Here is a 13049-nt window from a genome sequence, read left to right on the forward strand (position 1 = left end):
CTTGCTTTTGTTTGACTCTGTGGTTCTTATTCTTACTATGTTATATGTGATAACAGACATAAACCTCACACATTTTGGGATCAGATACAAGGGAAAAGGTTCGGGAGCTCCAGCATCAGTCTTAGTATTCTAAGTGGTTTTTCTCTGGGGTCTGAATTGAAGTGCTAGCAATGATGACAGAGGTAGCATAGCAGAGTGGCTTGCAGCATGACTACCCCCAAACTAACAGGCTGACATCTTGATTGTACGACTTACCTATTGTGTGACCTTGAGCAAATGATTTCACCTTTTCTTGCCTCCATTTCTGTATCAATAAAGGGAATTAAATAATTCCCCTTAGGAATCTTTGCAGGGTCTTAAAGAAAAATTAAGTGGTCCTCCTGTGTCCTTTCTTACCTAAGCAGGGCCTATGCTTAATTGGAATTCAGGATACTTGATTGCCCATGCCCTCAGATCCCTAATGAATTTCAGAACGTGACTGATTTTGTAGTTTATTCAGATTTTTCTCATCACTACTGTGGGAGCAATGCTTTTTCCAGCCTTATAAATCCTAAGTAGCATCAGAACTAAGATTGTCTTTTCTTAATTTAGATATGTATAGTCATAATTGCTTAGACAACTTCCCGATATATGGTAAGCACATAGAAATGCTTTATTTAGTAAATAATTATTTAATACAGTGCATTATGCATATACAAATGCGTGCATGAAATATTTAGTGAATATTTTTTCCCTAAGGTTCTAGGTCAAGTCAGTTTTCATAAGACTCATGAGACAGTGGAGAGAAAAATTTATATTGCAGAAATATATGTACACTGCCCCCTGCCCCTTGCAAAAAGACTCTTAATAACTCCCTTAATTCATTACATGTCAAAAATCTATTTTGGACTTTTTAGACTAGTTTATTCTATATATTAGTGCACACATACTTGCATCACAGTGTCGGATGAGGTTTGCCTCCATATGGAACATCTGTTACTCAGAAATTATACCTGATAACACTATATTAAAATATAGTCAAATGAGCCAGGCATGGTACGGTGGTGCATGCCTGTTAGTCCCAGCTACTCAGGATGGTAAGCAGAAGGATTGCTTGAGCCTGGGAGTTTGAGACCAGGCTGGGCAACATAGCAAGACCCTGTCTCTAAAAATAAAAAATAAACATATAGCCACATAGCCAAATACTAACACATAACTTGATAACTGATCAAAGGAACTGAAGCAAATCACCTCCATCTTCTCAGAAGCTGATTTTGGAGTGTAAAAGAAGAACTTCTATTGTATGAGCTGGTAATCAACATGGAAGTTTCCAGAGATGAGAAAACCCCACCAGGCTTACTTCAAAATGTTCAAAAGTTGTTCCCCTCTTACCCTGGAGAGAAAGAGTTCTAAACTGTGAAAATAACAAAAAATCCCAAAATATATTATTTCTTGAAGACTTGTTGAAGGAAGTGACTGCAACTTAGTATCTAAAAGAGAAGTGCATTACTTAGTGCTTTTCAGGCTGATGGTGTGACAGAAGGGAAAATTCTCTCTTGTCCTGGTTAAACAGGCCCTGTATGCTTGAGGCGGGGCTTTCTCAGCATCCCTATTTCTGATCCCCATGACAACCAATCTCAGCCTTGTCTCTATGGCAGATATCACATAACAGAGTGTTATCTACCCATTTACACAATGCTTGTATAACCATTGCCTCTTGGACCAAATAATTTGTTTTTTATTTCAAAAGTTCATAAGTGGAAATAGCTTGCCTTGAATCTCAGATGAGACTTTAGACCTTTAGACTTTTGAGTTGGTTCTGGAACAAGTTAGGACTTTTGGAAACTATTGGGATGGAATGATTATATTTTGCAATGTGAAAAGGACGTTTGACTTGGGAGGCCGGAGGAGGAATACTATGGATTAGATATGCTTTGTTTGTTCCCTCCAAATCTCACATTGAAATCTGATCCCCAGTGTTGGAGGTGGGGCCTGGTGAGAGGTGTCTGACCTTGGGGCAGATCCTTCATGAATGGCTTGGTGCCATTTTTGTGGTAACAGGTGAGTTCTCACTCTATTAGTTCCCACAGAACTGATTGTTAAAAACAGCCTGGCACCTCCCCCGTCTCTATCTCTTGCTTCCTCACTCCCATGTGATCTCTGCACACACCAGTTCCCTTTCACCTTATGCCATGTGTGGAAGTAGCCTGATGCCCTCACCAGAAGAAGGTGCTGGCACCATACTTCTTGTACAGCCTGCATAACCATGAGACAAGTAAATCTCTTTTATTCCTAAATTATCCAGCCTCCAGCATTCCTTAATAGCAAAGCAAATGGTCTAAGACACTACCACACCCCCATGGTGGCATACACTTACTAATGTTAGAATAGGATCCTGAGCTGAGGACAATCTCCTGCCCCTATAGAGGTAGAAAACCTTTATGTATTTTACCCATCTCTAGCAATACTGGGTCTTTACTTGTGCCTTGAAGGTGGCAGGGTTTGTGGCCCATTCACCAGCAGACTAAGGGTTTTACTTTATAGGAGAAGAGAATCCAGGCAGGAGTTGGGCTTCATGTCTTTTTCTCATGACATTCCCTCCAGAACCAAGGGGAGGCACTTTCTGGTTTTCTGCTTGTCTCTAATACTTAATGTTGGCACCTGGGGAAGGTCCATGCAAAAATACATGAGTAGGTGGAATTGCTCTTGTGTCTGAGGCTCCCAGAAGTTCTGTATTCTCATGGTAGCTAAGATTTGGCCTTCAGCAATTGAATAAAATTTTAACTAATTTTAAAAATTTACTTGCATGGAAGCCACCTTCTTCTTGTACTCTACCACAGTTGAGAAAGTACATGTATCCTTTCTTATTTCAGAAATTCCTGCCTCTTTTTTTTTTGAAATTTAGAAACTTGGTTACCCTGTACCTTCTTATACCTAAAGAGTTTCAGAACATGTGTGGTTTTTGTAGTTTGTCCAGCCTTGTCTTATCATCAGGGTGAAAACAATGCTTTTTCCACCTTTTAAATCCTAGGAAGAAACAGTATTAAGGCTGTATTTTCTTAATTGAGACATGCATTCTTCCATCTTACTGGTGCCATTAATCCAGGTATGACATGAAGGGTTAGCAATGATTGGAAAAAATTGTTCAATTACTCATAACTGGTTAGACTATATAATTTACACTGATTATTCTGATCGGTAAGGGGACAGTTTATGGTCTCAGTTATTTATTTTGTCAACTAAATTAAAGGATAAAATAACATGACCATCCTACATGGACACTTTATATGTGTAGGATCATTCATTATCATGAATCCATTCTGCCAGTTATGCTGCATACTTAAAGGTTTTCTCACTTCAGGTTCTTTGTAAGGAGAAAAAATCTATTAAAGATATCGAACAGCCAAACACTCAGAATGGTCTGAGATGCTCAGAGGACAAATAATCATTATCCTTGATTGGCACAGAAGAGCCAGAGTCCCGTGATTGTAAAGAAGATCTCAGATGCTTCACAAGAGAGTAATCAACTTTAGTGGGGCTGCAAGATTATTTTTTCTGGGTTTTGACATGACAAACACTCTCAGTTACATCCCAAGAATATGTGTATCTCATTTTCTCGCACAAGGACATTTCCTGTACTTACATTGGTTACAAAAGGTGCATTGATGGTAAGGTTAATGTAATATACTATTGTCTTAGTCTGTTCAGGCTGCTGTGACAAAAATACTATAAACTGAGTGGCTTAGACAGCAAACATTTGTTTCTCACAGTTCTGGAAACTGAAAAGTTGAAAATCAAAAGGTCACAATACTGTCTGTCTGGTGAGGGTTTGCTTCCTGGTTCATAGACTGCCATCCTCTTGATGTGTTCTCCCTTGACAGAAAGAATGAGAGAGAGAGAGAGAGCTCTGGGGTCTCTTTAATAAGTCCACTAATTCCATTCACAAGGACTCCACCTTCATGACCTAATTACCTCATAAAAGTCCCACCTCCTAATACCAACTTATTGGGGTTTACGATTACAACATATAAATTTTAAGAAAAACAAATATTCAGTCCATAACAGCCATTATTTCATTCTCAGGGTTTTCTATGCTTAATATGTTGCACTTCTATTTATTTTGTTAAAAATTATTAATGGTTCATATGTATGAGTTTCTTCATTATTTGACTTACAGTATCTCTAAAAAGAAAAATATCATTAAAAACTGACAAAAGACAAATATCTATTGAGGTTGAAGTGATTCATATGATGAGGTTGAGTCATGTTATTTGCATAAATAGAGTTGTAGCAACCTTACCCTAGATGTTTATCTATAGTTATATTAAGGCAATTTTTGATTAAAATATTCTTAATCAAAATTTATTTTAGAAGCGTCAATTGCAAATATGGCCATTAATTGTTTTTTCCCATTGTTGTCCTATTCCATAATTTTCTAAATTGGCTGTATTTACAATAGTTTGGGATATCTAAATTATAGACTGGTCATATTGAAGTCATTAATATTAGTATGTATAACACTGTAAAAAAATAAAAATTGTATGACTTCAAATCAGTAAAAAGTTTAAAAGACTCAGAAAATTAAAAAAATAAACAACAAAGTATGTAAAGGAGAGTGTGACAATCAGTGTTTCTGCACAACTGGAATAATCTGATTCTGGGTGAAATCTGTCAGTTTCAATGAAGGTGTCTTTCTGTTGTTGGAAATGTTGGGTCTACAGTCAATTTCTATGAACTATTCTCTTTCAGAGATTCTGTGGAGAATCTTATATTAAGATTTCTAGTTGATGTAACTTTCCAATTACTTTTCATGGAGGATAATGTCATTTTAGTTGAGAAACATGTATTTAGGGATTACTTAATTGCAGTTTAACAGCCATACTTACAGAAAAATTACCCTGATAAGGCCACTTCCATCAAAGCTCAAGGGCTGTCTTTTTCTAATGCATTTTCCACCTGATTTCAGGTGATGTCAGGGCTAAATAAATGGTTAACAAGAAAATCCATCTCATGCCTGTTGATGCTGGGGCTGAGTATATTGGGCTAGTTATCTTACATCAGTTTATGTCATGGGAATTAAGTATGGTTAGAGATATTTCTAGATAAATTGGTTGTTGGTGACTAGCTAATAAGTTGATACTATGTGACTTTGTGAAAGAGAGTAATGAAGGGCCATAGAGCTAAAGGTAATAGTTTAGGTCAAGGAAATTTACAAATGTCTGATAATTTAATTCCTGTTCTAATATTCAAAAATTCTAAATAAAATAATAATAGGCCCCAGCAACACATGAAATTATTTAATTAATATCATCAACATACAGATCCCAAGATATCAACAAATCTTAATCAGAATAAACAGAAACCTAGAAATATGCTTTAATTAGCATATTTAATTATTTCTAAAAACCAAAGATAAAATGAAAATCTTAATAACAATCAGAGTTAGCAAGATAGCAGAATAGGATGTCTGTGTCCCCAACATCATAGCACCCAAATATGTGAAGCAAACATTGACAGAACTAAAGGGGGAAATAAATAGCAAAACAATAATAACAGGGGATTTCAATATCCCACTATCAATAATAAATAGAACATCCAAACAGAAGATTAATAAGAAAATGGAGAACTTCTGAAAACTCCTAGTTCCAAAATTGCAATGTAGAGGCAAGCTGGCTTCTCTACCCTACCCCCCCCCCCCACACACACACACACAAACAAACAAATATACAGCACCAGGAACTACACTAGCAACAACCCAGAGCTCAAGTATGAGGATGAGACAGTTCCTGGGGCAACAGAGAAGTAGAAAGACTTTGAGAAGATGTTAGGAGAATCAGACTTGCACATCCACAATGCCCCTCCCCACCATTCTGCCAGGCACACAGAAAATCTCCTACCAACTCATGGTTTCAGCACTGGAAATATTAAAACTGAGATGGTAAACCAGCTTCCTCACCTTCTTGGATTCCCTGGAAGCAGGCATGTCCTTTATTTCAAGTGACAAGTGGCACCATAACTTCCTAAAGGGACAAATATCCATGAGGACAGGCAGAGATGAACAGGGGGTGTCTACCATCCATGGCCCTGGAAACTCTGCTCTGTAACTCAGCCAAAGGAGATGCCAAATCAGAGTGGCTGTAGGAGATTTGTTCCACAAGTCTCCTGAGAGCAAAAGCCTAGCCAGCCTTCCCTTTACTGCCAGATAATCCCTTTGGAAGGTCTTCTATTTGGGACAGGCAGTGCTTGGGCCAATTATTAATACTAGAGCTGAGGTAAACCTGGACTTAAGGCACCATGTACAGTTGAAAAGGAGGCAGAGATCTAGTAGTGGAGATTCCGTAAACAAATATATTCAATAAAAACTAAACCAAGCCAGACAGAGAAAACTAATAAATAACTAGTCATTCAATGAAAAGACATAGACTTATAACCACAATAAACAACAGCAAACAAGGAATCATGACTTTCCCAAAAGGGCAGAGCAAAAATCTAGTGACTGACTCTAAGAAAACAGTGATTTGTGAACTCTTTGACTGCGAATTCAAAAGAGCAGTTTTAAAGAAACTCAGTGATCTCCAAGATAGTGATAGAGGCAGGAGGAAGACAAATGCCTAGGCAGATAAGGAGGGTTGCCTGGAGAATCTCCAACCTGCCCTACAAGTATTTACACCAGATGTTTTTGTGCAGATAAGGGAACCCACACAGGGTCTTGCCTGAACATTCCCACAAAAGACAGGAGGCCCACATGCAGTGGGGGAATGGGATGGAGCCACCAGAAATTCACACCTTATGCGGAGGAGGAGCCTGGCTCCTTCAGCTGTTGTGTGGTAGCCTGGTATTCAATCTGTGAGGTGGAAACCTGCATGCAGGACCCCTCTCTTTGCTGAGAGCTTTCCTTTCACTTAATAAATTCCACCCTCCTCACCTTTCAATGTGTCCACATGCCTAATTTTTCCTAGTCATGAGACAAGAACCTGAATTTAGCTGAACTCATGAGCAAAAAATCCTGCAACATTTTTGTGGCCAGTACAGGAATACATCAGAAGAGTGAAAAAAATGCAAACCCAAAAATCTCTTTCACTTTGTTTTCTGAGCTTTCTTGTCCTCAGACTTTTTCTGAAGTCAGGGGAAACTACCCCCACCCCAACCCCTGTTGCTCTCGGGGATCAGGAATGTCAGCCTCAGTGCAACCCAGTGTTTTCTAGGCATCTTCCTTCTGTTTTTCCAGGAGTGTAATGGCACCTATCTTTTCTTTTACAATATTGGGAGTGTTCCACCCCAACCCCAATGGCCACAGGTGCACATGGGAAGAACTGGTGAGTGGCAGCTTCCTGCCCCACTTCCCTTCTGGCTGGGGCACATGGCCATGTCTGCTGCATGTGCATGCGACATCCAACTGTTATGCAGGGTAGGACTGAGCCACAGCTGCTGCCAGAGCCCCAGAGTGGTCTCAGGGGCCAGAAGCCCTGAGCGACCAGCTGGCCATTATTCCGTGTCACGCATCCACAGGAGTCTTCTCCTCCCTGGCTGAGGGGTCCAGCTCAGTTGAACTTTTAATTGAAAGCAATTAAAAGTTTCTCTCCCTGTGGAGAAATCCATTTGCATAAGAATAATAGGCTTCTTCTCCCAGGCATCTTTATCTTTTCTCCAACCTGTCAGCAGTTAACACAGCCCTGCACTTAAGAATTTTTCCTCCGTTCTCTACCCTGCCAGCAGTTTTTTTTTTTTTAATTTTCTCCCCTAGGTCAAGAGTTAATGTGTTGGTGTGAAGGTAGTTGCAGTTTTTGCCATTACTTAGAATGGTGGGGACCATGATTGCTTTTGCACCAACCTAGTAACACAGCCCTGTGAGTAGAGGAGGCTTCTCTATGCCAGTGTTTTTTGTTTTGTTTTGTTTTTCTTGAAAGGTTTTTTATCAGGTCAGACCCCAATTCACAAGTTTCCCATTTCATGGATAGAGGTCATGCTAGTATCCATGGCATAAATGAGGTCTAAGGACTTGAAGGCTATGGACAGCAGGGGGAAATGCAGTGCATGGGTAAGAGCCCATAATCCCACCTCCTAGGTTCCCTGTTAACATGGGTGAAAGTCACATTGGCACCCATGAGTGGCATCCTGTTGAGGTCACAGGGACTTAGTATATAAGGATGAAAGAAGGAAAGAGGACACATTTTCCTTCTCTCCCTCACACACTCCAGGTATTTGCTAGGAAGAGTGAGGAATTAGGGACAGATGGCTCCCCTCTTTCTAGATGAGTAGCCATTTATCTTCGGTCTGCACCCCTTTCAAATGCATCCTGAGTCCTGGGGCTCTTTTGAAAAAATGTCTTTTTTTTCCTTTTTCCCACTTGGTCCTGTCTTCCCAGAAGGGGAATCGTGTTACTGTACTACAGGACATTCCCCTTGAATGCATCCCTCAAACTGGGAAAAGTTAATTTCCCAAATCTTAAACTGGTTGGGTTAGAATTAGGCTCAGAGGAAGGGAACCTAGAAGCCTGACATGCCAGCACTAGGGTAAAAGATTTTTTTACCAGTTGGAATTTTGGCCTGCCTCTTCCTGTGCAAACCAGTAAAAGGAATGGTAAGAATCACTGTTTATATTTGCTGTAAAGTTTTGATTAATGAAAATGGATTTATGAGGTTTGTCTTAAGCTGTAGCCAATCTGGTGTGCTTTGTATGTCCTTCTGTATAGTTCTGTCAGAAAGACTGGTATCTTAGGATAAGATGTGGGCCTAGGACCCTGTAAGCCCACTGCTCAAGTCAGCCTGGCAAAGTGGTCAGCAACAAATTTTGCTGCAGGCCTCCATCTTGTTTTACTTCCTTGGGAGCATGACCTGTAATGACATGGCAGTACTTTGTTTTAGCCTCTGCCATTTTGCAATAGTAGCCTGGGTTCATTCCCGGCTTAGGGAATGAGTACTTACTAGTTAATACCTGTGTGACTTTTGCCATTTGCTGATTCTATTCCCCTCCATGAACCATTTCTAGCCTCCTTTCTTGAATCTTTCCTTCTCTGAGCTACCTTTAAAGCTTCTAGATTTTGTAAAAACTGCTTGCCACCTCTTTGAGAATGTCTTACACACTCCCAGTTAAGTCATAATCTTAGTTGAGGTTTGTTGGTTTCGCCTCTGAGGTTACTTCTGGTAAAGTTCAAAAGCCAAAAATATCGGCTGCTTGGTGTGGCTAAAGTTGGGTAATAAGGAATTTAAAAGGGCTTTCTTAATGAGTGCTCAGTTTAACTAAAAGTGGATACCCAAGTTATGTAAAAATAATTATTCTTGCTGCACTTTATGCAAATAATCAGTCCAAGTATAAGACTAAAATCTCTTTTGCAAACAAGTCAGTCCTATCATAATTTGTTTTTAACAAAAATGAAGACTGGAGAGAGAGAAATTATGTTTCAAAACTTATCATACAGTTTTTATTAAATTCTAGACTCATTGGTTGTTTTTAAGTTCTTGCCCACATTTTAAACTAACCCTGCTTACTCCTGTGAACCAACCAGCAATCTCCAATTTCAGCCCAGAAGAAATGAAAAAGTATGGATAATGTAAAAATCTGGATATTCTAGTTCTGGACAATTATCCTGCAAATCTTGCCAGGTGATGGGAGTAAATAGAATGTCCATAACCCAGAGGTTTCTTTGTTTGGGAAAATAAGACCAAGAGAACTAACCAAAGCTGAGCCCCATGTACCCAAATCTTAGCAGGTGTAACTATAGCCACCAGTTATGTGGACATGTTGATAGCATTGGGATTTTTTAGCTGTCCTTACCCCCTCCCTTGTTTTGTTTTGATACATGTTTTATAATAACCAAGTTTGTTCCCTCTTGCTTCCAGGCCATGACTCCAAATAGTCATGCAACCAGAGCCTCAGATGATGGCCCCTTTTACTGGGGACTCTTAGACAGGTCTCTCAGGGAGATCTGACTGCCTTCTTCCTAAAACAGCGCCCCCTGTCAGCAGGAAGCAGTTAAGATTTGTCTTTATCCGTATTCCAGTAGCAGTTAGATGCACCTCTTTACAGCAGAGAGTGACAGAGGTGGGAAGCAGACAAATGCTTAGACAGATAAGGAAGGTTCCCTGGAGAATCTCCAACCTGCCCCACATGTATTTACACTGATCCTTTGTGCAGATAAGGGAACCTGCACAGGTTCCTGCCCACATGCAGTGGGGAAATGGGATGCAGCCACCAGAAATTCATGCCTTATGCAGGGGAGAAGCCTGGCCTCTTAAGCTCATGTATGGTGGCCTGGTATTCAATTCGTGAGGTGGAAACCTGTGTGAAAGACCCCAGTCTTTGCTAAGAGCTTTCCTTTCACTTAATAAATTCCACCTTTCAATGTGTCCTCATGCCTAATTTTAATTTTAATCTACATCTTTCAATGTGTTCTCATGCCTAATTTTAATTAATTTAATTAATTGAATTAATTAATTATTTAATTGATTATTTGATTATTAAATAATCAATTAAATTAATTAATTTTAATTTCAATTTCAATTTGTCCTCCTAATCTAATTTGTCCTCATGCCTAATTTTTCCTAGTTGTGAGACAAGAACTCAGATTTAGCTGAACCAAGGAGCAAAAAATCCTGCATCAATTACACAAAAAAGCCATTAAGAAATGTATCAGATAAATTTGACAGATATTGAAATAATAAAAACAAAATCAAACAGAAATCTTGAAACTGAGAAATACATTTGCTGAACTGAAGAGGTATTTAGAGGCTTTCAACAGCAGAATAAACCAAGCATAGGAAAGGATCACTGACCTCAAACACTGGCTATTTGAAAATACACAGTAAGAGAGAAGAAAGAACAAATAAAAAGTAATGAAGACCATCTACAAAATATAGAAATAGACTCAAAAGACCAAATGAAGAATTGTTGGTGTTCAAGAGGGAGTTGAGCAAGAGCAAGGGATAGAAAGCTTATTTAAAGAAATAATAACAAAAATCTTTCCAAAATTTGAGAAAGATATAAATATTTAGGTACAGGAAGATCTTAGAACACCGTATAGATTTAACCCAGATAACACTACCCCAAGTTATCTAGTATTCAAACTCTCAAAGAGCAAGGAAAAAGAGAAGATTCTAAAGCAGTGAAAGATAAGAAGAAAATAACATATTAAGGAACTCCAATTTGCCTGCCAACATACTTCTCAATGGAAATTATACCATCAAGGATGGAGAGAAATGGCATTTTTAAATACTCAAAGAAAAACAAACTGCACCCAAGAATATTGTACCTAGAATAACCATCATTGAAATTTGAAATAGATAAAATTTTTCTCAGACAAACAAAAGCTGGGAGAATTTACCACCACAAGACCTATCTTGCAAGAAATGCTAAAGGGAGTTCTTCAGTCTGAAAGAAAAAAACACTAATATGCAAGAAATCTCTTTAGGGTAAAAAACTCACTGGTAAAATTAAGTACACGAAGAAACCCAGAATACTCAGCTATTTCATGTGTGGTGTGCAATCCACTCATAACTCTAGTATAAAGCCCAAAGGACAAATCTATCTAAAATAATAATAGCTACAGCAACCCATTCAGAAATAGGTAATATAAAAATATGTAAGTTGAAAGAACTAAAAGTTAAAATGTAGGGGAGACAAAGTTAATGTACAGAATTTTTATGTGTGGGTTTTGTCTTTATTTCTATTCTTTTATTTGTGATCTAAGATAAGTTATCTCTGTAAAATAACTTGTTATATCTGTGTTTTCTGTAAGACTCATAGTAACAACAGTTCAAAAACCTATAATAGATTCACTAAAATAAAAAGCAACAAATTAAAATACAGTATTGCACATAATCACTTAACCACAGAGGAAGACAGTAAGGAAGGAAGAAAAGAAGAGGATCCTCAAAAGCAACCAGAAAACAAGCAACAAAATGGCAACAGTAAGTCATTACTTATCAATAATAACATTAAATGTAAATGGCCTCAATTCCCCAAATAAAAGTCACAGAGTGGCTGAATGGATAAAGATACAAGACCCAAATATACACTACCTTCATATAGTTGGGTATATATAGTTAAGTAAATGAAATTAACATATAGTTGGGTCTTGTATCTTGTATCTTTAGCTATAAAAACACACATAGAATTTTTATTAAACAATGAGCTCAGTACCCAGTGTGCACAGAAGCCATCACTATGACACTGGCTTTTGAGAAAAGAAAGACTTTATTACAAAGCCATCAATCAAGGAGATAGGAGGTGTGGCTAAAATCTGTCTTCCTGATTTGGGGTCTGGGCATGTTTTAAGGGATCAAAGGGTTTGGGGAATATTAGGAATGTTGGCTTGGCAGGGTCTGAGTGAAAGGCTTCAAATCTGACCATATATGGTAAGGTATGTTGAGGCAGATTTTAGCCCAAGCTTTCTGGCCAATGGACCCCTTGCTTCTTAAAGGCTTCCAGTATTCAGGTTCTGGTCATGTCCTGGTCTTTGTTCCACAGAGAGGAAACACTGGTTCCTGGTGTTGTTAGAGGTCACAGCTTTTTTTTTTTTTTTTTTTTTTTTTTTTTCTCAGTTGTGCATGCCTCCTCTGTATGACTTGCAGTTTGGGCTCTGTCATACCTACAAGATAACCTGACCTTCTGTTATCAATGGAGTAGGGCCAGTATGGGCTGGTTACAAATCCTTCATTTTTTAATTCATTCCTTAATCTTGAGGGATTTGGGCAACAACCACTGTAGTTATTTCCTGCTGAAAGGAGGTGTGGGTCTGGGTCTAAGGAATGAAATTGTTTGCATATAATTGTAAATACTCATAGATCCCAGGTTATAGTCAAACAGATGGGTCAGATAACTCTTTTGCATATCATGCGATATGGTTTGGCTCTGTGTCTCCACTCAAATCTCATCTCGAATTGTAATCCCCACATGTAGGGGGAGGAAAGTGATTGGGTCACGGGGGCAGTTTCCCCCGCACTGTTCTAGTGATAGCGAGTGAATTCTTATGAGATCTGATGAGAAAATGGCAGTTTTTTTCCTGTGTTCTCACTTATCTCTCTGTGTTGCCTGCTGCCATGTAAGACATGACTACTTCCCCTTCCACAATG

Source organism: Homo sapiens, chromosome 11 (assembly GCF_000001405.40).
Source record: "Homo sapiens chromosome 11, GRCh38.p14 Primary Assembly".
NCBI classification, from domain to species: Eukaryota; Metazoa; Chordata; class Mammalia; order Primates; family Hominidae; genus Homo; species Homo sapiens.